Source organism: Homo sapiens, chromosome 18 (assembly GCF_000001405.40).
Source record: "Homo sapiens chromosome 18, GRCh38.p14 Primary Assembly".
NCBI lineage: Eukaryota > Metazoa > Chordata > Mammalia > Primates > Hominidae > Homo > Homo sapiens.
The window spans coordinates 14583535-14608546 of record NC_000018.10 but is presented as its reverse complement, the minus strand read 5'-3'; the positions used below and the strand labels follow the sequence as shown (position 1 = coordinate 14608546).

At 33.8% G+C, this 25012-nt stretch overlaps 1 long non-coding RNA gene across 5 annotated transcripts in view; it reads left to right on the top strand.

The window, feature by feature from the left end:
* Nucleotides 1-25012, top strand: part of LOC105372004 (uncharacterized) — an 87301-nt gene that overhangs the window by 33963 nt on the left and 28326 nt on the right. For 3 of the 5 annotated variants that reach the window (XR_935172.2, XR_935173.3, XR_935171.2), the window contains 2 exons: nucleotides 6288-6406; nucleotides 16345-16461. This is a non-coding gene — a long non-coding RNA (uncharacterized LOC105372004). The remainder of the gene's footprint in view (nucleotides 1-6287; nucleotides 6407-16344; nucleotides 16462-25012) is intronic. The other 2 variants (XR_935175.2, XR_935174.2) reach the window with 1 other exon arrangement.

Here is a 25012-nt window from a genome sequence, read left to right as displayed (position 1 = left end):
AAAACACCTGGTTTTAGTAAAGTGATGGCAGCAGTCACTCTTCAGAGTTAGGTATTGGGACAATGGTAAATAGGTAAAATGGGTGTAGAATATTCAAAGATTAATTTAAAACAATACGGAGGATAACTGACTGTCTCTGGTCTCTGTTCTGTTCTGACTCAATCTCTGTCCCTGGCCTTAAAATATCAGCACCAACCCAGGAAAACAAAATTCACCAGGAGCCATTGGATGAGGGACAAAGATAGAGAACCCATGTCTTTCCAGACTTCAGTCTTCACCTTTTACACTCTGCAGTATCAGTATACTCAGCACACTGATATAAGAAAAGCCATCACGATTATTACAAGCTAATTAGGAATTTGTCGTCACTGGACTGTAGTGACCAAGAGACCCAGAGGAGAGTTGTGATAGCAGAAATACCTTTAATCAGGGATAATTACGTGAGACAATTTGTTTGCCCACAATAATTATGGTGCATCACCTTGAGGATTTCACAAATGGAAGAAGCAGCAGGCCTAATGGAAATGCTTTGTTCTGTAAGAGATGTAACACTTTTTTTAAAAAGCAATGAGTAATTTTGTTAGCTAATTCTTTATGTTTCCGAAGAGCTTTAGAAAAGCACTATTGGGCGTGTCAAAAATTGATGGGGAGTCATCATGTGACTGTGCATATTACACGGCAAACACCTTGGCATTTTGACAGCTTCACAAGAGCCATGTGCTTGGTTTCTAGGGCAAGTATTTTAGAGTAAAAAAGTGAAAGCTGCTTTATTAATACAATAGAGATACTGTATCCTACAGAGTAGATTCTAGTAAAGAGACTCCAAATAATTTTGCAAACATTTATACTTCTGAGTTCAAATAAAGAATTTGAGCATTAATGGGACTCTAGGTTCATAGTACAAAACTCAAGACTCTAGTACCATACAGTCTAGATGTGTCATGATCAAAACTCCCCTGTGCACCCCTTTACAGATAACCACTTCCCCTCCTCAAACACCTGGAAACCATTCTTCTGTTTTCCGTGCCCACAGATGTGCCTTTTCCAGAACATGAGACAAATGAAATTGTACAAAGTGTAGCCTTTTCAACTGTCTTCTTTCATTTAGCAATATACATTCAAGATTCATTCTTGTTGTTGCATGGATTAATAGCTCTTTCTTTGTTATATGGAATAGTATCCCATTGTATTTCCACCACAGTTGGTGTATCCATTTGTATATTGAAGGACTTCTTGGTTGCTTTTTCTCTGTTTTTGGTGATTATGAATAAAACTGCTATAAACATTTTTTGTAGGTTTTTATGTTTATGTTATTTTTCAAGTCAGGTGGAGGATTTGATTTGATAAGAAATATTTGATTCTATCTATTTTAAACTCTGAAATTAGGTGCAAACAGATTAGGATTGGTGTGTCTTCATGATTGATTAAGCCCCTTCTCATATGACATGCTTCTCTTTACTTTTGATTATATTTTTTCTTCTGAAATCTACAGAGTCAGATATTGATGTGACTGCTTTCGCTCCTTTATAATTACTATTTGCATTGTATTGTATATCTTTGTTCATCTTTTTATGTTTTAAGTAGTCTGTGCCTTTATATTTAAAGTGGATTCAAGGTAGGCAGCAAATAGTTGGCTCTTGCTTGTATTGTTCATTCTAGCAATGTCTGCCTTTTAGTAGACTTCTTATACTATTTACATATAATGTAAATGATATGTTGGGTTTATATCTACTACCTTGCTACTTTTTTTTAATTTGGGACTTCCTTTACTTTCCGTTTTTGTGGTAGAATAATATCAACCATGATATGTCTTGCTTTTGTTTGACTTACAAAGTCTTCATTTCACTTTCATTTTGAAGGATATTTTTCATACTTAAATGATTGTGTTGACTCTGTTGTTTTCATTCAGTTTTTTTAACAATTCGAATCCTGTTTTATAATAAGCATTCAGTTATTCAAATCCTGGTTTTTCAGTATATGGTTGTTCTTTTATCCATGGCTACTGTAAGATATTTTCTGTATGACAAGTTTCCCATATGAATTGTGATATGTCTTCTTGTGATTTTCTTTTGATTTATCTCGCTTGAGGTTGGTAGAACTTCTTGACTTTTTTTATTATAACTTTCAATCAAATTCAGAACATTTTGGTCCCCATTTTATCCTTTCCTCTGGAACTCCAGTTACATACGTGTTAGGCCAGTTGGCATTCTCTTGCATATTGCTGGGACTCTGTTCAGTTTTTCCTTTCACATTTTTGTCTCTGTACTTTGGTTTAGAGATTTTCTATTGCTGTGTCTTCTAGTTTACTGATAATTTCCTTTGTGGTGCCTAACATTTTTCACCTCACAAAATCTTGATGTTGTTAATATATTCCATTCCTCTCTTCATTCTGTTTATATTTTTTATTTATATACTTGAGCATATTTATGACAGCTCTCTTAAAGTTATTTTATCCTAATTTCCACATCTTGGTAATTTCTGAGCTTATTTGAATCAGTTTCCAATTCTACTCATTACGATGTATATTTTTATGCTTTATTACATTTATCAATGGTGGACACTAAAAATATTTCTGAGTGCTGGATTCTTTTTTTATTCAAAAGTAGTAGTCTTTGTTCAGTCGCAAATTTACTTGTGGGCTAGGCTAATTATGTCATTTTATTTTTAAATATTTTAAGATGGGTTTAGAGTAGGCTTCTCTAAGCTACTTTAACCTTAGTATTAAGGAAGTATCTGGTATTTAAGGAATTGCCCAGGGTCGACTAGGGTCTTGGGTATTTTTATTTTATTTTATTTTATATTTTATTTTATTTTATATTTTATTTTATTTTATTTTATATGTTATGTTATGTTGTTATGTTATGTTATGTTATGTTATGTTATGTTATGTTATGTTATGCTATGTTATGTTATTTTTTATTGAGATGGAGTTTTCACTCTTGTTGCCCAGGCTGGAGTGCAATGGCATGATCTCGGCTGACCGCAACCTCCACCTCCCAGGTTCAACCCATTCTCCTGCCTCAGCCTCCCAAGTAGCTGGGATTACAGGCATCCGCCACCAAGCCTGGCTAATTTTGTATTTTTAGTAGAGATGGGGTTTCTTTATGTTGGTCATGCTGGTCTCGAACTCCCGATCTCAGGTAATCCACCCGCCTCGGCCTCCCAAAGTGCTAGGATTATAGGCATGAGCCACCGCACCCGTCCAGTCTTGGGTATTTTTAAAAGACTGTCTTCTCTGGCTGATCAGACATCATACGTCTCCTGAGTAAACTCACACAGTTCAGCTTATAGCTCTACAAAATTTTTCCTTGATTTTAGAAGATTTAGCCTTTGTGTATTCATCTTACTATTCAATAACAACTCAAGTGGGCCCCATAGAAACTTCTGGAGAGTTTTTCTGTTTTGTTGTTGTTGTTGTTGTTGTTGTTGTTGTCCTGGATGTAGATTTTGGCCATTGCCAGCTCTCTGAACTCCATTTTCTGTTTCTAACTCATCAGGTCAACTGTACTCTGCTTTGAATTGCCTTTGCTGCCCTGAAATGTAGAAAGTACCTCCAAGGAGGAAACTAGGTTGATCATAATATTAATCTTATATTTTATTCCCTCAAGGATCTTAGTCTTGTGTTGCATGTAGACTAATGCTTAAACACAATGTAGTGGTATATTTTATCCAGTTTTCTTGTTGATTATGAAGGGAAATTAAATCCAGTAGTACCTCATGGCTGGAAGTGGAAGTTCATACTGTCTTCTTTTAAAGAAAAAAATCATGAATATTGTTTACTTCTCTTTTAAAATGATTTATAATTCATTTACCATGAAATTTATCCTTTTAAAGTGTACAATTCAGTAAATTTTATCATGTTAACAAGGTTATGCAGCTATCACTACTGTCTAACTCTAAAACATTTTACACAACCCCAAAAGAAACCCTGCAACCATTAGCATTTACTTCCCATTCTCCCTAAATGCAGCCTTTGGATACCATTAAACTATTTTCTGACTCTTTGGAATTGCCTATTCTGGACATTTCTAATAAGTGATATGACATAATAATAATGTGTCTGGCTTCCTTAACTTGGCATATTGTTTTTAAGTTTCATCCATGTTATGGCATGTATGAATACTGTATTCCCTCTTATAGCTATGTAATATTCCATTGTAAGGATATAGAAATTTTGTTTATTCATTCATCAGTTGATGGGAATTTAGGTTGTTTTCAGTTTTGATTGTCGATAGTACTGCTGCTATGAATACTTGTGTACAAGTTTTTGGATAAACATCTTATTTCTCTGAAATGAAATAAAAACCTATGAACTCTGACTAGAATTGGAATTTCTGGGGCATATGTTTCACTTTTTGGGGAACTACCAAACAGATTTCCAGAGTGGCTATACCAATTTACATTCTTACAAGCAATAGATGAGGAATTTAATTTCTTGACAATTTTGACAGCATTTGTTATCTTCCATTTTTTAAATTACTTACAGCTATCCTAATGGTTGTGAATTGGTATATCATTGTAGTTTAAATTTGCATTTTATTAATGACTAATGATGTTGAGCAATATTATGTGGTTAAGGTTATGTGCATGTCTTGTTTGGAGAAAAGTCTATTCAAATCCATTGCCCATTTTTAAGTAGGTTATTTGTCTTTAGTTATTTTTGAGAGTTCTTTATATATTCTGGATACGAGACCCATGTCAGATATAACTTCACAATTTTTTTTTTCATTTGGTGAGTTTTCTTTGAACTTTCTAGATTGTGTCATTTAAACCTCAACAGTTTTTAATTTTGATAAAATTAAATATCTATTTTTCTTTGGTTACTTGTGTTTCAGGTGTCAAATCAGAGAAATTATTGCCTAATCCAAAGTCACAAAGATTTACGTATGTTTTGGTATGCTGTGTTTTCATTTTCATTTTAAAGCATTTTATAATTTGCCTTGTAATTCTTTCTTTGGTCCAATGGATATTAGGAATATGTTGTTGAACTTCCACTATTTGTTAATTTTTCAAGTTTTATTGTGTTATTGATCTCTAATTTGATTCCATTGTAATCAGAAAACATAGTTTGCATGATTCTAATCCTTTTAAATTTAGTGAGACTTGGTTTAGGGCCTAATACATGGTCTATCCTGGAGAATGTTCTATGTGCACTTGAGGAAATTGTATTCTACTGTTGTTTGGTGGAGTGTTTTATAAATACATTAAGTCTAGGTGACTTACAGAGTTTTTCAAGTCTTTTATTTCCTTGCTGAACACTATCTTAGTGTTCTACTTAAAAGTACTAAAATTTTTGTCTATTATTGTGAAACTGTCTATTTCTCCCTTGAATTACGTAAGTTTTTTTCTTTATGTATTTTAGGGCTCTGTTGCCATTTAATGAAATAAATAAACACATACACACGTGTACAAAATTGTTTAATCTTCTTGATGGGTTTATGCTTGTATCATTACACAATGTCCTTCTCTCTCTATTAAACTATCACAAGGACGAAAAACCAAATACCGCATGTTCTCACTCATAGGTGGGAATTGAACAATGAGAACACATGGACACAGGAAGGGGAACATCACACACCGGGGCCTGTTGTGGGGTGGGGGGAGGGGGGAGGGATAGCATTAGGAGATATACCTAATGTTAAATGATGAGTTAACCATCATTTAACATTGGTGTGTGCCATGCAGCACACCAACATGGCACATGTATACATATTTAACCTGCACGTTGTGCACATGTACCCTAAAACTGAAAGTATTATATATATATGTGTATATATATATATATGTATATATATATATATGTAAAGATGTTTTGTTATAAAGTCCATTTTATCTGATGTTGATATATCCACTCCAACTCTCTTTTGCTTATGGCTGTTGGCATACTGTATATTTTTTTCATGAATCTTCTGTCAACCTATTTGTATGTTTGAATCAAAAGTGAGTTTTTTATAGGCGTCATATAGATAAGTCATGTTTTCAATCCATTCTGCTTATATCTGCCTTTTAATTGAAGTATTTAATCTATTTACATTTAGTCATTAATAATAAGGTAGGGCATCCGCTACTCTGTTATTTGTTTCTATATGTCTTGTATCTTTTCTGTTTCTCTTTCTTATTATAGTCTTCTTTCATGTTAAACATATGTTTGCTAGTATATTGTTTTAATTATCTTGTATTAGTGGTTTCCCTGGGGCTTAGAATTATCACCTTAACTTATAACAATCAAGTTTGGATTAATATCTATTTAATTTCAATAATATTTTTAAAACTTTGCTTCCTTATAGCTCTGTTTTTACCCTTTCTCCGGGCTGTTATTGTCATACAAATTACATCTTTATACATGTTGTGCTGAACAACAAGTCGATTTGTAGGTGTTTCTTTGTGAAGTTATCCTCTAAATCAGGTAGGAGAAAAAAGTATTACAAATAAAATACGTATTTATGTATTTTACATTTACATATGCATTTACCTTTATTAGTCCTCTTTATTTCTTCATATGTATTCAAGTTACTGTCTAGGACTTTTACTTCAACCTAACGGGCTCTTTTTAGTATTTACTGTTAAGAACCAAACTACTTTTCTTTAATAAATGTTCCCTGGGTTGCTGTAAGCCTTTCCTTAATCTCCGGGATATGGAAACAGTGGCTCTGTAAATTTTTGTCAATTTTTCATTTCTTTATGGAAGAGGGATTTTAGATTAGCTCCTTACTTTATCATTTTTGGTGGCATAACACTCTATTTTGTAGGGTGTTTTTTCTTTTACCATTTTTACTGGATATATATTCAGTAGAAAATAAATCATTCTACCAAAAACACACATGGACTTGTATGCTCATTACTGCACTATTCCCAATAGCAAAGACATGGAATCAACCCAGATGTCCATCAGTGGTATAATAGTTTGGATTTATAAAAATGGTAAATATACACCATGGAATACTATGCAGCTATAAAAAAGAATAAAATAATGTTGTTTGCAGCAACATGGGTAGAGCTGAAGGCCATAATCCTAAGCAAATTAACTCAGGAACAGAAAACCAAGTACTGCATGTTCTTACTTATTACTAGGAGTTAAACATTGAGCTCATACAAATATAAATATGGTAACAATAGACACTGTGGACTACTAGAGGGTGAAAAGGGAGCTTGGTTTAAAAACCACCTATCAGGTACTATGCTCACTACCTGTGAGATCCATACTCAGTATGTGAGGTTTAGAGTATGGATCCCATCGTATGTGTGAGCATCACACAAGATTCCCCTGTAACAAATCTACACATTTATCCCCTGTATCTAAAATAAAAGTTGAAAAGGAAAAAAAATTTCCAGGGATTTTGATGATCAGATGAATCTGATAACCACTCAACTAGTTGGCCTCTAAAGTCCTTTTGAATTAGATGTGCTGTAAACCTCACCTCCTCACCTCATGTGCTGTGAACCTCACCTCCTTCTACTTTATGTTTACATTTTTGGCTTTTTTGTTAAAATTATTTTTGCCTTCAGCGTTGATATTTCAAATAAGGGGAGTAGATCACAGTGTCATTCCTAGATAGCATTGTGTGCTTATGGCTGATATTAAACTTTTCAGCCATATATACTTTTTATATTCTTTATGAAAATTTTCTTTACAACAATAATTATTATTTTTAAACAGCTTTTGCACCTATTGAAGTAACTATATATATATTATATATACAGTTTTTCTTTTATTCTGTTAATACAGTGAATTGTATTAAATTATTATCAAATGTTCATTCAGTTCATCAACATTGCATTGCTGTGTGATCTCAAATGGATGCTATTTTATTATTCTGTTTTCCTGAATTTGTATTGCTCTTTGTTTAAAGGAATTTTGTATTTTTGTTTTTGAGCGAGATTGGCCTATAATTTTTCCTTCTTATATGACCCTTTTCAAATTTTGAAGTCAGAATTATTCTAGCTCATTATGTGAGTGGAGCAGCGTTTTCTCAGAACGAGGAAACAATGTCAGTCTGTTTCAGATGACACTTTATTAATTTTTTAATTTTAATTTTCAGTTTTTGTGGGTAGATAGTAGGTGTTCAGATGACACTCTTGCACTGAGAAAATCAACAGTTTATTTTCTCCTTATGACTTGCTTTACCCATTTCTTCATGAGGCTATATTTTCTACAGTTCATCATTTCCAATGTACATATATATATATATATATATATATATATATATATATATATGCATTTAATTTTATGTTACAGAATTAGGGAAGAAATTATTCAAGATAGACTCCTAGAAATACAATTATCAGCTCATGAATATGGACATAATTTGATAAATACAGCAAATTGCTTTCTAAAAGTTGTTCAGTAATTTTTGACCAAATAGAGCTTCCATGTTTTCAAATTTTCTGTCTTATTTAGTAATATCCTTTTGTTTTACTCTTTATTAATCTAATAGGGGTCCATTTTTATTATCTGTTAGATCCATTTTTTTGCTACGTTTGTTTTCTATTTGTATATCTTTAGAAAATATTCTCATAATATTCGACTCACAAAACTTTATAGGTAATAAAATAAGTCTGACAGAGAGGGTTAAGTTCTAAAAACATGTATAATGGGTAAGAGAACATATGCGAATGTATGATGAGATTGATTTAGTTATCTTGCAGTGATATGTAACCAGGATAAGGATAATGATTACCTTATTATCCTTACAATACTATAAAGTAGATATTATTATAATCCTAACTTTGTGTTAGAAGCAGCTACAATTTAGTGCTAAAGTTAGCGTCACAAGGCACACTGGTAGTCTGAAGGTTTGAATGCACAAAGAACATACGTTTAACTGCTATATATTGCTTAAATAAGGATCTGATTGCGGAAAACCTCTATCTAAGGATGTCTACCTGGTCTTTAAAATAAATTTTTATTAGTATTATTATTATTTTAAGAGACAGGGTCTTGCTCTATCACTCAGGCTGTAGTGCAACTATGTGATCATGGCTCACGGCAGCCTTGACCTCCTGGCCTCAAGTGATCCTCCTACCTCTAAAATAACAAAGTTGTGCCCAATGATATTCTCTGCTCTTTCTGAAGTATACATCAGCATGCTCACTTTTATCTTGCTACTTCAATCCCATGCTTGTGTTAGCAGTAACAATAATCAGCAATAATTCACTATTTTGTTTTATATTAGGCTCTCACACCCAAACCCCAAGTCCTCATGCTCAAAAACCCAGGTTGCCTTGATTTGGTAATAACTTTAGCCCAGAATCCCTTTATCTCTCTGAGTGGCAACATGTATAGTAGCTTTTAAGCTTGATGCGATTAAATTCCACATACCAATTTTGAGATAAATCTCAGGAAAGTAACAAAAGGGTGAAGAGGAGAAGTTTCCAAAACTTTTTAAAAAATAATTTAAAAAAGGGAATCACAGGAGCCTATAAAGGAACTATTTAAATATCATGATACTCCCCAAAGTCTCAGATAGGCAATCTCATGAATTGCAAAAGCCAATTAAAAAACAAACTTCGTTAAGTGAATTCATCTTGCTATGGTAGTTATTAACACTATTTTGGTTGCTTCTCCCCCATATCAAGATGGTAAGAACTTTTAAATTGTTTGCCCATAATTGCAAATGAGAACATATGTCATGAGACAGAAATGTAGTGACCTCAAAGTTTGCAGCAACTACATTTACCCTCATTTAATGTTCTGCCTCTATGCTTTCTTTGTCCTTATCTAAAGTGACGGTGCCAGTAAGCACTAGCACACATGCACAGGGCCTGAAGAAAACTAGATCCAAAGAAATGCAAATCCAGCAATGGGTCTAAGAAAATTAGAATTTTGTTTTCTCTAATCTTATACTTCTTCCTTTTCTTGAAAATTTTTATGTCAAGGTTTTCAAATTCCATACAACACAATATTTTGCCAAAATTATCCAATATTTTAATTATCACTACGCAGTACTTGACCATACAACAGACATAAGTGGGTAAAACTGCCCAGATATAAAAATAGCTTGCTTTGGGATGTTATGGAAACATATCCCATTAGAGCTGTAGAAAGACTTAGGAAATCTACAGAGAAGAGCAGGCGACAAAGACAAAAGTAAATGTTGTGGCACAGAGTGAGTGCCCAGGAAATTTGATGAGCTTAATTGAGGAAAGGAGCCCAATCGTTAGCCCAGACTGATAGACCACGTTTCTTCTTCACATCTTCTGTTTAATTTTCACAGGCATTTCAGTTCTTCTGTTTCCAAATCTAGTCCTCCTTTAGTCTCCCTTAACCCAGGTAACGGCATTTGTATTCCCGCAGTGGCTTCAACCAGAAACTTCGCTCCTTCCATTTTCTCACTCCCACTTCCATCAAAGCTTTCTATTACAATTTCCCTTGTCTAAACCTTCCCTTTCTTTCTCCTTAAATGTTTCGAAGGGCTTCTAGTAATCTCCAGCTCTCTGCACTGATTTTTTTTCCAGTCAATTTCTCCTGAATGCTCAGAGCAGTCTTTAAAAATAAGATAAATCATTAAAAATAAGATAAATAAGTCAAACAACTTTAAAATGATAAACATGCAGTCATTCCTCTGTATGCATGGGTTCTGTGTCTATGGATTCAATCAATCACAGATCAAAAGTATTTAGAAAAAAACAATTCCACAAATCTTCAAAATCAAAACTGAAATTTGCAACACACCAAGTACTACATTGAATTCACTTAAACGAAGTGATATGTAGACATTGTATTAGATATTATAAGTAATTTAGAGATGATTTAAAAGTATACGGGAGAATGTGCATAAGTTATATGCAAATGCTACACCACTTTATACCAGGGACTGAAGCATCCATGGGTTTTGGTATCTGCGGGGATCTTGGAACCAATTCCCCATAGACACCAAGGGACCATCATAGTCCCCATTGCTCTAGAAATATAATCCAGTCTCCATAATGAGCCCTTGATATCCTGTATTTTACATATTAACCTTCAGCTTCATCTCTTCTCACTCATTGGTCATTCACTAAATTCCTGCTTTCATTTTCTGAAACACATAATCCATTTCCACTTCAGGGAGTTTCCATTTCTCTCTTGTCTGCCTGAATATTGTTTCCTTCGGCTCTTCTATTGTATATCCTTCTCACTGGAACTAAATAAAAGATTATTCATTACACAGAGCAGAGAGAGGCTTTTTCTGAGCACCATTCCACCCTCTTCACTCCTTTGTTTTTTCTCATCTCACATTATTTACTACCTTCATAACACTCATTAAACTTTTAATTTGCTCGTTTGATTTTCTTACATGTTTTTGTTTCTCTCTCCTTCCTGCATCTCCACTCCAAGACTGTGGGACTCGTGGGGAAAAACTGAGTGTCTTAGGATCACTATCATCACCCCAACACCTGGCCCAGAACCTAGCAAATAGTAGATGCCCACAGAATATTATTGATTCACTGAATAAATGAGTGTACAAGCGGCTGCGAGGTGGTTACTTTTTACCTCTCAAAAATACCATAAAACTCTTTTTTTAAAAAATGAGAATGTTATAATGGGGTCATACATATGTTTTTATTGACACTGGCTTCTTTTACTCAACATAATGCCTTTGAGATTCACCCCAGTTACTCTGTGAATCAATCGTTGGTTCCTTTAAATTCATGAGTGGTATTCTGCACTGACTCTGGACTTGGCCATGTGTCTTGTTCTGCTGAAAGGAATAATAGCACAAGAGAGTTTTGCATTGGGACTGCCCTCTATTGTTACTATTGGAATACTGAGGCCACCATGGAATTGAGCCTAAGCCAGTCTTTTGGAAGACAAGAAGCAATGATGTCCTGGTAAATGTTTAGGAGCTGTTTCTTGGGGTAAAGGGGGCAGAGAAGGCTCTGATATGTAGTATTTTCCAATGTCTATGGTACAAATACTCCCACTATGGCAGATTTCAAGCCACCAAGTGTATAATAACTACCTCACAAAACCCCTGATAATGTAAAACAAGCTCTCATTCAGGTATAAGTCAGCTCCAGCTGATGGCAGATGAGAGACCACGTGGAGAGAATTTGGGGCCTGGCTGACAGTAAACTAGCTCATGTTGCTAACCTGGAGGCTACCAGACATATGAGGGTGGTCAGTATAGATTGTCCAGCTCACCCAGACTTACCAGATATCCTAGTAGAAATCAAACATCTTGGCCCAGACAAGAAAAGGTACTCATGTGGTTTGTGAACAAATATAAAATGGTTCCTAGTTTAATTCAATAAATTTTGAGGTGGCTTAATATGGAGCAAAATCTAATGAATACAATTGGCTATCATTTCATTCCATATCACCTATGGGTATCTTGAATATTATAAATAAACAGATGATAAGCAATTTCTGAAAAAAATGAGTCTGCAAGGCACCACCAAAAGTAGTAAAATTTTTGTTTTACTGAGATAAGTGGCTACGTTGTTGTCATATTGTTAGTGTACCGCTAGGTTCATGTGGAACTTGAATCTTTTTTAAAACAGTGAAAATATAGGTTGTAATACCAGGAGTAAAAATAAACTGTCGACGCTAGCATCCCATCCTAGTTGATGTTACATTTTTTTCTTTTCATTATATGTTGTTGTGACTATTGTTATAGAAAATTTGACACAAGTTTCCTCTAGTAAACTGTATGTTAATACTAGTGGTCAGTGTTGAGAACCAGACCCAAAACTGAAACCAAATATTTGAAATGCAAAGATTTAGAGATGTTCTGCTCCTTTTCTTTTAAGAAAAAACAGAATTTAAATCATCCTGGTGGCACAATAGGAGCTGAGCTAATTTTTTAAATTGAATTTTAATGCCAGATAATTTGCATAGAAATGAACCGAAATAGACCACTCAGAATTAGGTCCCTTCTTGTACAGTTGGACAGTAAGGAGATTTAGCCATTATGGACCTATGTAATGTTAGGGGGAAGGAAGCACAGAAAACAGTCTTGATGATCATTCTCACACCCTAGAACAAGATATTTGGATTTTCTTCTTGACATGGGCTCTTAGGATATGTATATATGTACTGTATAAATTCATTTCTTACTTTGTAAAACCAAACCCATCCCCATTAGTATGAATTCCTTCAACTTTCTCTCTTAAGTATCTAACTTTCTTAACACATCGCCTCCCAACTATAAATTCATCTCTTCCCATTTATACCCTAAATTCTTGAAATCAACTACTACATCATGTCGGTTGTCCCCAGGTCATCATTTCCCATTGATTTCTCTTGAAGTTTTCTTTAGTTGTTTGTTTCATTCTCCACCCTTTTCTATTCTAGGCCCCTGTTGGCTCATTATCATGGCTACATTATCTGGGCTTTTCTGCCTCTAGCCTTTATTGAGATTGGAGAATAAAAGGAGCTGGCAGGAGATTAGAGGGAAAAAGGAGAGAAAGGTCTGGATTTTACTCAGTTTCTCCTCCCTGCCACTTCACTAGAATTCTTCTAGTAATCTATCCTTGAGTATTTATACCTTGTAGGTCCCTTTATGGCTCTAGCTCTCAACAATTTCTAACCCTCTACTTGTCTCTCCAGGCCAAGAGTAATAAAGCTTCCTGCTGGTTCTGGTGGTAGGATGCCTCATTTAATCCTGCCAAGATTTTTATAGATAGTTGATTCTCATATTATGTTGAAAACCTTTGCCAAATAGGTTTTATGTTTTCTTCTGTGGCCTTGACTAATACACTTCTTGACCCATTGTAATGGGTCTGCTTCTTGCTCAACACTTACAAAAATGTGACCCACCAAGCTATTTCACTAAATAAATGGCTTCTGGTTTTAGGGGGAATTTTGTCATTCTCCTGTGAGAAGGTGTTAAAGGTACTTTTTTTTTTAATAGCATGCTTTTTTTTTCTGTATATTTTTCTATATATTCAATTACCTACTGAGCATCTCCACTTGTTTTCATATGCACACTTCAAATTCATTATGGACAATATTCAACTTATCTTTCCCTTATGTAACAATTCATAAAGACATTTTTTAAATGAATGAACTCCTGGAGTTGTGTATTGTCTTGCTAGCTCCTCAAGCAAGAAAATTTTACACCAATTTTGTTTCTCCCTTACAGTCAAATGTAGTCAAGTAATAGGCATTATCTATATAAACTTTACTTCTGAGTCTGTTCAATTCTATTTTACTATGATCTTCAACTAGCCCAACTTCATTACACACTGGATTGATGCAATAGGTGTCATCAACTTATCTCATTATGATTTTTTTATTTGTAATACATTTTCTGTAATCAATCAAATTGCTTAGTCTAAATATATAACATTAAACCTCCTAAAATACCTCAATCTTTCCATTGTCCTTTTAGCAAAGTTGAGATTTCTTAGTAAGACTTAACAACATCATTCTAAAATTGATTATTCTACCCAGGCTTATATCTCACTCTCTTTGTTATTAGTGTGAGTAATTCTAGCTAATGTAACAAAATATCATAAAATTTTAGGTACTTAGCCACATGAAATGATATATCTGCTCATGTACCTATGCTCAGTAGTGTTATGGTTGGTGACTGGTCACCCGTCAGAGATTGAGCAACCCAGGTTTCTTCCATCTTTATTTTTGAAAAGTTTTATTTTGCTTTTAATTGTCACATAATAATTGCACATATTTATGGGGCACAGTGTGATGTTTCAATACATGCATATATTCAGTAATGATAGAATCAGGTTATTCAGCATATTCATTATCTAAAACATTGATCATTAGTTTGTGGTAAGGACTCTTAAAATCCTTTCCTCTAATTATTTCGAAATATGCAATATTAACTATAGTCACCCTGCAGCCAATAGAACAAATAAGTACTTGGGTGATGAAATTATTTTGTGCAACAAACTCCCATGACCCAAGTTTACCTATGTAACAAACCCGCACATGTACCTCTGAACTTAAAATAAAAGTTATTAAAAAAAAGAAATGCTACTGATATTTTTGGTTGATGCTGTATCCTGCAACTTTACTGAATTTATTTATCACTTCTTAGAGCTTTTTGGTTGAACCTTTATATAAAATCTATGTATAAAATCATGAAATAAACAATTTGACTTCCTTCTTTCCAAATAGATCCTTTTTATTTATTTTTCTTGCCTAATTTATCTGGCTAGAACTTTAGTACTATGTTGAATAAAAGTGGTGAAAATTGGCATCTGTGTCTTGTTTCAGATCTTAGAGGAAAAGCTTTCAACTTTTCTCCAGTTAGCTGTAGTTTATCATTTTTGGCCTTTATTGTGTTGAGGTACATTTTGTTGAGAGTTTTAATCAAACAGCATTGTTGAATATTGTCAAATACTTTTTCTGTTTATCAAAGTGATAGATTAGCTTGTGTCCTTGATCCTGCTAATGTGCTATATCACATTTATTGTATTATGTAGGTTGTATTATCTAGAATGAATCCCATTTGATCATGGTGAATGATCTTTTTAATGTGCTGTTGAATTTGGTTTGCTAGTATTTTCTTAAATATTTTTGCATCTATTTTTATCAGAGATATTGTCCTGTCGTTTCATATTTTGTTGTGTCCTTGACTGGTTTTTGTATCAGTTATGCCAGCATTGTAGAATGAGTTTGGACGAATTCTCTCATCTTCAATTACTTTGAAATAGTTTGAAAAGTATTGATAACATCTTTTAAATGTTTGGTAGATTTCACTAGTGAAGCCATCATATCTGGAGCTTTTCTTTGATGGGAGACTTTTTATTATAGATTCTATGTTGTTGCTCACTATTGGTCTCTTCAGATTTTCTACTTTTTCATAATTCAATTTTGGTAGGTTGTATATGTATATGTTGGCATGTAGTTGTTCATAATAGTCTCTTATAATCCTTTGTATTGCTGTTACATCAGTTGTAATGTATACTTTTTTATTTCTGATTTTATTTGAACCTTCCATCTACTTTTCTAAGTTAATCTAATTAAAGGTTTGTTTCTGTTCAAGGATTTCTGTATTGTTTTAGTCACTATTCCACTTATATCCACTCATTTATTTCTTTTTTCTACTAATTTTATGTTTGTTCTTGTTGTTCTAGTTCCTTGAGGTATGAGGTTAGACTGTTTATTTGAGACTTTTTGTCTTTTATGGCGTAGGTGTTTATTGCTGTAAACTTCCCTCTTGGAACTGCTTTTGCTGTATTCCATAAGTTTTCATATACTGTGTTTCCAATTTCATTTGTCTCATGAAGTGTTTGAATTTTCTTTTTAACTTATTCATTAATCCATTTGTTATAGAGGAGTATGTTGTTAAATTTACATGTATTTAAATGGTTTCTAAAGTTTTTACTGTTAGTGATTTCTAGTTTTATTCCATCATGGTCAAAAGAGATACTTGATTTTGATTTTTACAGATTTGCTGAGATTTGTTTTGTGGCCTAACATCTGATCTACCCTGAAGACACTTCCATGTGCTGATGGGGAGAATGCATACTCTTCAACTGTTGAGTGGGATGTTCTGTGAATATCTGGTAGGTCCACATGATCTAGAGTGCGCTTTATATTTGTTGTTTTTTTTTGCTGAATTTTTGTCTAGATGATCTGTCCTTTGCCAAAAGTGAGATATCGAAGTCCTCTATTATTATTGCATTAGAGTCTATCTCTCCCTTTACATCTAATAATATTTGCTTTATATGCCTGGGTGTTTTGGTTTGAGATTCATATATATTTGTAGTTGTTATATCCCCTTACTGAATTGACCTGTTCATCATATCATGACCATCTTTGTCTCTTTTTACAGTTTTTGACTTAAAGTCTATTTTATCTGATCTAAGTATAGCTACTTTTGCTCTCTTTTGATTTCCATTTGCATGGCATATAGTTTTCTCTTCTTTATTTTTAGTCAATATGTGTCTTTACAGGTGAAGTAAGTCTCCTGTAAGCAGTATATAGTTGTATGTTTTTAAAATGCATTCAGCCATCTTTTAATTACAGAATTTAATACACTTATATTGAAGGTTATTATTGATAGTTATGGATTTACTGTTGCCATTTTGTTCATTGTTTTCTGGTTATTTTGTAGGTCTTTGTTTCTTTCTTCCTCTCTTGTGTTTGCTTTTGTGGTTTCATGGTTTTATTCCATTCTCTTTTTCATTTGCATATATGCTGTAACTTTTTTCTTTTTTGTTACTCTGGGGCTTACATAACAAATCTTATAGTTCTAAAGGTTTATTTTAAGCTAATAACAATTTAACTTTGATTGCCTGCAAATATTCTAGACTTTTACCCTCCAACCCAATTTATAATTTTGTCTTAATTCACATCTTTTATATGGTTTATTTCTTAAAAACTTATTGTAGCTATGGTTATTGTTGACCATTTTGACTTTTAACCTTCATACTGTATACCACCACTACAATAATGTAGCACTCTGAATTTAATTATGAGTTTACTTCTACCAGTGAGTTTAAATACTTTCATGGTAGTAATTAACATCCTTTCACCTCATGGTGGCAATTAACATCCTTTGAAGCCGTCTTTTAAGCATTTCTTGTACAGCTGTTCTAGTGGTGATGAATTCCATCAACTTTTGCTTGTCTGGGAAAGACTTTACTTCTCCTTCATATTTAAAGAATAACTTTGATGAGTATACTGTTCTTGACTAGAAGTTTTATTTTTTTCTCTCAGCACTTTGAATATATTATCCCATTATTTCCTGGCCTGCAAGGTTGAGAAATATTCTGAGAAATATGCTGATAGTCCGAGCAGCAAGATACAGCCATGAAGTCCCATATAGGGGGATTTCCTCATAAGAAAATGTCTTAGGCTGCAGGAGTTTGTGAGGCTGCTATGCTAGCTTGGGTACAGCCTCATCACTGGGCATGAGTGCCTGTTCCTTGGGGAACAGGGTGCCACATGGGCTCAGGTGCTAAGGTTACAGCTGTTGTGCTGGTCCTAGGCTCTGAGTAGACGGAGCCAAGATACCGCAGTCACTGGGATGGAAAGATGGAGTGCCTTCTTGGCAGTTTGTTTCCATGGGGTTAGAAGTTGTAGCTGCTCAGCTGCAGAATGGTGCGCTACCATGAGTAGGTGTGGTGTAGTGGCAGTGAAGCCTAGGATATGGGAAGATAGAGTGGCTACTGGCCCCCAAATGAGAAGGCACCCTAGCAGTGGCTTCAGTCTCAAGATGTCATTACACTGCAGCAGCTTCGATAATAGGGCAGGATGAGACACAATATAGCTCCTTGTTTGGAGTAACATAGACATGTGAACTCCAGGCAACTCCTCAGGCTGGGCCTAGGACCTGTAAGGACTACAGTGATCTCCAGGAGCAAAGATTGTGGGTGTCCACATTTTAATTTGTGTTGCTGAGGGCCTCCTGCATACCTTTTCTCTGTAAGGAGAGTCTGCCCTGGCTCTGACCTCATCCCACTAGGAGAGAAAAGATGGTAAAGGCAGAGTGTTCCATTCCCTTTTTTATATGGCCATCCTGAGTCTCCGTGATCCACATGGTCTCTGCCATTTCCTTGTTGTACTCCAGGGCTCTCTTTCATATATTTTAGTTGAAATGTGGTTATTTATTTGTTTCTTTGGTCCTTTTGTGTGGTGGCCGGGGAGGAGGTTGAGTGTTAGGAACTTCTAGTCAGCTATCTTATTGGTGTCACTTCCTCTTGCATCTTCTTGATTTAAGATTTATTTAGGATCCCAGAGTCTTCTGCATCCTCTTGGCAGACAAAGGACTAAAGAGTTAAGGCAGACTTCATTATTACTATGTTAGTCAAATTATTTCTTTTTGTTGATAAGAATATGATATTTTGTTGGTAAGAATAGGACATATGGCCTTGCTTAGAAGAAAGGTGACTAAGAATTGTAGTTCCAGAAGGGGAGCTATTTTCCAGTAACAGCTCTACACTCTAGAAGAAGATATAAGAAAATTGATGAATACTTAGTTCCCCGTAATTTACTCTGTCTCCTATAATCTGAGCTTTTAATTTCTCCAGTGCAGTGGTTATCTGATTATCCTTTGTAGATAATTTCCTTTGTAAGTAGATTTCTGTACTAGGGAGAGCTTCACTTTTCTTCTTTGTCTACTAACATACTTCAGGCCTCAGATTTTTCTTACCTGCTCTTAAGTCTGTATCAAAGCAATTTAGACTCTATAGCTATTTGTTTAACCTGCCTTTTCCACTAGGACTGGGATATTTTTCATTTTTCTCATCATTAAATTCCCAGTAGTTAGCAGAAATTCTGGATAGAATAAAAACTTTATTAATATTTGTTGAAGAAGTTCATACATCACTTAAGCCTGTTCTTTACGCATTTAATTTTTAGTAAACTCTTTACTGAGGTGTAACAGAAACATAAAAAATCACAAATCATAAGTGTATGTATAGTTTGATGAATGATGAATCACCATTGTATTAGTTTCCTATAGTAACAAATTACTACACACTGGGTGGCTCATAAGAACAGAAACATATTTTCTCTTAGTTATGGAGGACAGAAATTCAAAATCAGTATCACTGGATCAAAATCAAGATGTTAACAGGGCCACACTTCTTTCAGAAACTCTGGAGAAAAATCTGTTTCTTGCCGTTTCCAGCTTCTGGTGTCCGTGAGGATTCCTTGGCTATTGGCCACATCACCCTCACATCTTCAAATCTCTTTGCTCCAACTTTATATCAATCTACCACTTTATGTATAAGGTCTCTCTTAGCCTTCCTCTTACACGGATACATGTGATTGAATTTTAGGCCCAGCTAGATAATCCAGGATGATCTCCAGATTTCAAGATTCATAAATTAAGCACAACAACAAATACCCCTTTTTTCAAATATAAGGTAAAATTTATAAATTTCAGGAATGAAGACATGAATACCTTTTGGGAGACTACCATACCTTCACATGAACTCAGCCACATGACTATTTAATAGATTGATCTAAAGAACATTACCAGCCCCTAAGTTATTCTTCCTTTTAAACTTTCTATCAGTTTTTGACTTTGTTAACTGAAGAGTAATTAGTCCCCTGACTTCTAACAAAATGGATTACATTTGCCATTTTAGAATTTATATAAAGTAATACAGTTTGTTTTAACTATTGTCTGACTTTTTGCTCAGCATACATCTATGTTTTGGTGTACAATTATAGTTCTTTTATTCTCGTTGTTGTATGGTAATCTATTTTATTAATATACCAGTATTTAGTCTATTGTTGATGGGCATATGGCTTGTATTACAGTTCTGCTACTAATAGAACTGCTATGAATATTTCATACATGCCTTTTAGTATATATTGTATGTTGGACATACAACTAGGAGAAAATTAGTAGAATTAGTGTGTGGTAGAGTAGTATATGTGTGTTCACTTTTGGTATATTCTTCCAGCTTTCCAAAACGATTGTATAAATGCATGTTTCAGTAATAGTCTGTGAGAGTTTCTGTTGCTCCACATCCTAATTAACATCTAGGAGAGTATTACTTTTTCAGTTTAGCCATTCTGATGTATATAAATACATATTGCATTAAAATTTCAATATGTATATGAATAATTATTAATACAGTTAAGCAAACTTTCATATGCTTATTGAGCATTTGAATATCTCCTTTTGTAAACAGCTTATCAAGTTTTTGCCCATTTATCCATTAGTCTGCTTTTTTCTTACTGATTTATAAGCAGACTTTTAGTATTTTCAATATAAAGTTTAAAAGGAGGAATATCTTGGGGGCTGCTTATATGCTTAGTAAATTTCCTTTTCCAAATTATGAGCTGCATTTTCACTCTCATAATGTCTTTAATGATGATTGATAATGTATTTTAATGAAGTCTAGTTTGTCATTTTTTCTTTTGTTTAAAATAATTTGTCGTATTTAAGAAATCCTTGCATATACAAAAGTCATGAGAACATTCTCCTATATCTCCTATATCATCTTCTGAAAGCTTTATTTTTATTTATATAGAGATATATATTATTCTGAATTATTTTTGTGAATTTTGTGAATTTAGAGCCAAGCTTTTTTGTAGTTGTTTGTTCAAGGTAGGAGCATAATTGCCAAGCATCATATTTTTGTTTCTTCTCTTCATTATCCTATTTCTCATAGATCAGGTGACTATATACTTTCTTTTTATTCCCAGAATCTCTAATGTGTTTCACTAGCATGTTTCTTTTTTCTTTACCAATACAAGATTTCAATATATAGTCTTTTGTTTAACTTTTATTTTTATTTCAGGGGTATATGTGCAAGTTTGTTTTATAGGTAAATTATATGTCACAGATGTTTGTTATACAGATTACTCTGTTACCCAGGTAATAAGCATAGTACTCAATAGGTGGTTTTTGGATTTTCCCCCTTCTGCCACCCTTCTCTCTGTAGTAGGCCCCAGTGTCTATTGTTTTCTTTTTCGTGTCCATTCCTACTCAATGTTTAGCTCCCACTTATGAGTGACTACATGTGGTATTTGGTTTTTTGTTTCTGTTTCTGTGTGTCTTTGCTTAGGATAATGGCCTTTAGCTTCATCTATGTTGCTGCAAAGGACATGATATCATTCTTTTTTATGGCTGCATTGTATTCCATGGTGTATATGTATCTTGTTTTCTTCATCCAGTCTACTATTTATGGGCATCTAGGTTAATTCCATGTTTTTGGAAATGCAAAGAGGCAAGAATAGTCAAGAAAGTTTCAAAGGATGACATAGTCTACCATATATGAAGACTTCTTGTGTCTTCTTTCAAAATTTGAAGAAAGTCTTGATATATGTAGTGTATGCCTTCCTTCAGAATTTCTTTGGATATTCTTACCTCTTTGTATTTGCATATAAATTTTAGAATCAGCTTGTCAATTTGCTCAAATATATTATTAGAAATTTGATTGAGATTGCATTAAATCTATGGATCAATTTGGGAAAAATTAACCATTATCAAACAACATTGCTAAATGCACTAGTTAAATTTAATAGCTTAAAATATTTTCTACATATATACAGATATACAGAAATGTGTATATATATATATATACAGAAAAAAATGTTTTTCTAAAATTATATTCAACTCTTTCAGTTATTTTTAAATAGACAATGAATTATAGTTAACTATAGTCACCCTATTGTGTTACCGAATACTAGACTTTATTCCTTCTAACTGTATTTTTGTACCCATTAACCATATCCTCTTTATATCTCCCTCCCCACTACCCTTCCTAATCTCCAGTAGCCATCATTCTACTTTCTCTCTCTCTGAGTTCAGTTTTTTTTAGCTGAGATATGAGTGAGAAATATGAGTGAGAACATGTGATAGTTGTCTTTTCATGCCTGATTTACTTCACTTAACATGATGTCCTCCAGTTCCATCCATGCTTTGCAAATAACAGGATTTTATCATTTGTATAGCTGAAAAATATTTCACTGTGTATGTGCACCACAGTTTAATTATCTGTTCGTCCATTGATAGACACTTTGGTTGATTCCATATTTGGCTATTGTGAATAGTGCTGAAATAAACATGAGAGAGCAGATATCTCTTCAATATACTGATTTCCTTTCTTTTGGATATAGACCCAGGAATGAGATTACTGGATTATATAGTAGTACTATTTTTAGTTTTTTAAGGAACTTCCATAATGTTCTCCATAGTGGCTGTACCAGTTTACATTCCCACCAAGAGCATACGAAGGTTCCCTTTTATCCACATCCTCACCAACATTAGTTAGGAAAAAAAAAGAAAAAAATACAATGTATGTTTCTTTAGTCAAGCTGTTCAGAAGCTATTAAGCTGACTTACACAAATATCACATGTTCTCACTCATATTTGGGAGCTAAAAAAATTGAACTCATGGAGAGAATAGAATGGTGGCTGGGAAGGGTAGTGGGGAGGGAGAGATAAAGACGATATGGCTAATGGATACAAAAATACAGTTAGACAGAAGGAATAAGGTCCAGTATTCGGTAGCACAATAGGGTGACTATAATTAACAATAATTTATTGTATATTTAAAAATAACTAAAAGAGTTGAACTGGAATGCTCCTAACACAAAGAAATGATAAATGCTTGAGGTTATAGATGCCTCAGTTACCCAGATTTGATCATTACACATTGTATGCCTGTATCAAAACATCACATGTACCCCATAATATGTACAAAAAATTTCAACTTTTACGTTATATTGAGAGGGTACATGTACAGGTTTGTTTCATGGGTATATTGCATGATGCTGAAGTTTGAGGTATAAATGATCTCATCACCCAGGTAGTGAGCATAACTGACTGCTAAAATATCACTTACATTTTCTTAGTTTACCTGACAATACTTAAGGTGTTCCTATTGCCCTGTGTAGCTGAGATTATGTCATGAATGTTGTAGATCTATGGTAAAATACTTAAACATACACCTAGTTATGTGCTGCATGTCTTCCTGACTAAATTGGAAGATTCTCCAGACCACTAGATTTTGCCTTCCTTTGCATCCTCCACTACTATTGGCACAAAGTTGGTACATTATTTTTGCTGAAATTGTCATGTTCATAATTAAAAATGTAACTGCTTAAATAAAAAAGATATTGATAAGAAATTCTATAAAGAAAGGTGTATATCAACTTTGATAAGAAGATAAAACTGATGCATGACATAATACTAAAATAAAAATAAGGTAATATAATAAAAAAGAGAATATCAGAATAGTATCAAAATATATAAAATTGAAAGTGTGCTTTCCATCCCTGCTCTTATCTCTCCAGTTTCCCTTGCATGTATGCATACACATGCACAAACATACACGCATCTGAATCTACTTTATTAATTTTATTTAATTTTTATTACCATATCTGTGGTTTCTTTAACCAGATACAAGCAGATTCAAATATAGATTAATACTTTTTGCTTCTTATCATTTAAAGTGAGTATTCATTTTACATATCTCAACTTATTTTTTTGTTTACTTAATAGTATGGAAGCTTTGAATATCAGTACAGAGAGTTCTAATTATTTTTACCATTTCATATTATTTCACTCTATGGATAATTTATTTAATTTGTATCTTACTGATAGTTAATGAAGTTTTCTCCTATTTATTTTATTATAGTGCCACAATAAGTAATAGTGAACATATATCATTTCTTATGTATCCAGACGTATTCATAGAATAAATCTTCAGTAATAAGATTTTATTTCAAAAGGTATGCACATTTGTAAATAAAAAATTGCCTTTATAAGTAGTTTAAGGTCTATCTAAATGCCTAAATCTTTAGCTTCATATCTTATCAGTCTCCTAACCAGCATCTTTTTCTTCTAAACTGATGGATGAGTTCCATTCTCAGAACACATCATGTTGTTTTACCCTCCACATTTTGCATATGCTCTTCCTTTTGCCTAGAATGCTCTCCCCTCAACCCTGCTGTCCTAAGATCCTATTTTAAGATTCTACTAGACTATCACCACATTCTGTTACATCAATTAACCTTCCTTTATACCTGTGATAATTGGCCAATCCCTCCTCTATATTCCAAAACTAACCTGCAGATACTTCTATCATTGCAGCTCATTTAATATTTCAACAAGTGCATGAGTATCTGTGTATGCCAGGCCTTCTGTTACTTGTTGGCAATAGAGAGTAAATATGATGTATTTCTCTCTACCCTCAAGGAATTCCAGTCTAGAGGGGGGATATAAAGGTATTCAATAAAGAATAGCAAAATCATTTCTAATTATAATTATGCTGGGCACTATTAGGAACATGTATAGAATAGCGAAAGAACATATAATGCTGGAACCTTCCCCGGTTGCTGTGGTCATTGGAAGACTTCTTGGAGAAATTCCATCAAGGTTTAGTCCTGAGGGTACATGTATAGGACATGGGCAGGTTGAGCAAATGGATATCATTATGTTAGATATATGGCATTTGGAAAAGGCCCCAACAGCAGTGGAGCCTGGCACGCTAGAAGACAAGGGAAGTTAGTGTTCAAGGAGGAGAAAAATGCAAAATAGGGCTGTGGAGGTAGGCAGAATCCTACACTGTAGTAATTTGTTGCTTTCTATTTCCCAGCCTCACTGCTATTTTTTCTGTAATCCATAAAATAATGCCCATCACATTA